Raw genomic sequence first — 2,762 nt, forward strand, 5'->3', positions numbered from 1 at the left:
AGAGGGATGCTGTTTTAATTGTCAACAAGAGCCTATGAGTTTTTTTTGTTTGTTTATTTTTGTTTCTTAATTTAAGCTGAGAAGTCAATTGTTTTCTAACATTTCTGCAAGGAAGCACACATTACATACATGCTGCATTTTTATAGTAGTGGTTGTTCCAATTTCTCCATGGAATAAAAGAATTTCCTACCTTATCAGGTGCAAAGGACAAAATAATATACATTCTTTCAAACTTTCTGATTCTGTGAAGTAGTGGCTCAGCACGTAATTGCTGATGGGACGCGCACTCTCTTCTTCTGACCACACACCTGGATTTGCATCTGCCCAAATGTTTCACTGATTCATTAAAAAAATATATATTGAGCCTCTGCTGTGACCTAGTTCCATGCACTTGGAATTCTATTGTGAAGAAAACAGTCAATCTCTCTGTCCTTAGACAACTTATATTTTGTGCATTTTCTAGGAATCAAACGCCCAAGAATAAGCCTCTAACTTCACCTTTCCTAAACACACAAATTACATTCAGATGTATGTGGGCCTTAAAGACATAAGGGGTATAGGTTATACTGTATCATTTAATTAGCCAATATCTATTAAGCATTACCTGACATTCAAGATACAAAATGCATAAGACTTTATTCAGTACATTTCCTGCCCTCTTTAATTTATTTTTCTATTTAGCACTCATTATTGTCTATTCTACATTTTATAATTTGCAATATTGATTGTTTGATTCCCTGTTAGAGGCAAGCCACAGGAGGTAGGGATGCCAGTCAAGTTTACTGCCATATCCTCAGCCTAGAGAATGGTGCCTGCAGCAAGGAGATGCGCAAAATATAATTTCTTCCAACATATGTAAGCATTGGGGTGAGAATAATCATGTTAATAAATTTAGGCTTTATCCTGTAGACACTAAAGAATCTGAAGAGTTTTGAAGCAATATCTGCATAATAGGAAGATAGGGCTGTAGCTGGCTTCAGGACAAAACAGAGTGCCTGAGATTCACAACCATTAAGAGCTACAAATAATGAAGGCAGCTGAGCTTTCGTTCTAAATCTTTGCTGATTTTGACCATGCAGAAAAACACTGTCTATATCAACGCATAAGAATGATCATACTTTGCATGTAAATACAGAGGCTTCATTCAGAACACATGAGTCATAAAAGAGTTAACCTGCTGAACAAGGTGTTAACTTGTGTTCCCAAAGTACCTGATAACCCCGGAGAGCCATTCAAACACTGGGAGATTCTGGCTCAGTATACAACAGAATTGGGTTAAGAGAACTATATAAGGCTTGAAAAAATACAGAATCATAGAAATTAGAAATAAAAGGGACTGTTAGATCATTTGTCCATCCCCTGCCAAGGCAAATTGTTGCTGACAGTATATTATAGCTTTATTCTTTGCAGTAGATTTTTATAGGCTTCCCAAGAGAGGTTTCTGATCTGTCCAGAATAATGAATGGGATGAATTTTTTTTTTTTTTTGGCATCTCACCACAAGAAAGCACGGCTTTTTACGGACTAGTTTGAGGAGTGCATTGAACTCCAGCATCAATTTCTATTAATTTTGTATGTTATTAGGTACAAAATATAGTCCTGGCTGCTGGAAAGAGAGGCTTATGAGCATTCTTTCTACTTCATTTAGCACATTGTTTTTTAATAAGCTGCAATATACTTAACTTGATATGCTGGGTATTTACGAAGATGTCAGTAAACTTGAAGAAACATTAAAAACTGAAAAATTTTAAACTCCTTACATGATTAATTATATTGTTTTGTTTTATTGGATTATATGTACAAAATACCAAAACGACTAGACTTATGAAGTTCATTAAAATTAGTCATAGGTATCCATAATAAATTTCATTGATGCTCACTCTACTCCTGTCTGTCATAAACAGGATACACACATCTTTATTTTATAGATGAATCAGTGGGGTCCCAGAAAGATTAAGGGGTTTGCTCAGGTAGTTACTATCAGTTCCAGAACTCACACCCAGGGCTCCTGACTCCTCCTCCAGTGCTCTATCTAACCCCCTGTTTCTGGTGAGAAAGAGGAACCAAAACGTTGGAAAATGTATTATGGTTGTTTATCCTAATCACTTGTAATTTTTTTTTTTAATTTGAGCAATTGAACTCTTATCAGAAAATCAATTTTACATCCTTTTCAGCTACGTGCACGTCCAACTTTTTAAAAATGACAAATATCTGCATTCTACTCCCAGTTTCACAACAAAACATAAAAATAGAAAAATGGTAAACAAAGGCTTGACTTGTCACTTGTCATCTATTTTTATTTATGGTGAAATGTGAGTCTCATATTTTTTAATCTGGCTGTCTTTGGCAGGTAAATTAATTATAAAATGTGAATCTGGCTCTCCAAATGGTAATATAGAAATTTTAACTATTTGTATGATGTTGGCTTTTTCTCATAATTAAAAAAAAAATTTGAGTCATTTGTGTATTACAGCCTGTGGAATCTAGGTAGTCTCTGTCTACCATTTTATTTGGGGGAGAAAGTGGTGATGATCCAAAGAATAAAATTCCAAACATTTACAAAAATTAGGCAAGTTTTAAAATAATTGATGAAATGAGGCAAACTAGAAAGCACATGGCCAGCCGGGCGCGGTGGCTCACGCCTGTAATCTCGGCTCTTTGGGAGGCGGAGGCGGGTGGATCACCTGAGGTCGGGAGTTCGAGACCAGCCTGACCAACGTGGAGAAACCCCGTCTCTACTAAAAATACAAAATTAGCTGGGCA

At 36.0% G+C, this 2,762-nt stretch overlaps 1 annotated feature.

The window, feature by feature from the left end:
* Window positions 763-1,406: an enhancer, noted in NCBI's record as "OCT4-NANOG hESC enhancer chr4:182199870-182200513 (GRCh37/hg19 assembly coordinates)". NCBI's record gives its function as "activates a minimal SCP1, AML or CMV promoter by ChIP-STARR-seq in naive H9 embryonic stem cells {active_cell/tissue: H9 hESC(naive)}" and the evidence as "EXISTENCE:reporter gene assay evidence [ECO:0000049][PMID:30033119]".

Source organism: Homo sapiens, chromosome 4 (genome assembly GCF_000001405.40).
Source record: "Homo sapiens chromosome 4, GRCh38.p14 Primary Assembly".
Taxonomy (NCBI): Eukaryota; Metazoa; Chordata; class Mammalia; order Primates; family Hominidae; genus Homo; species Homo sapiens.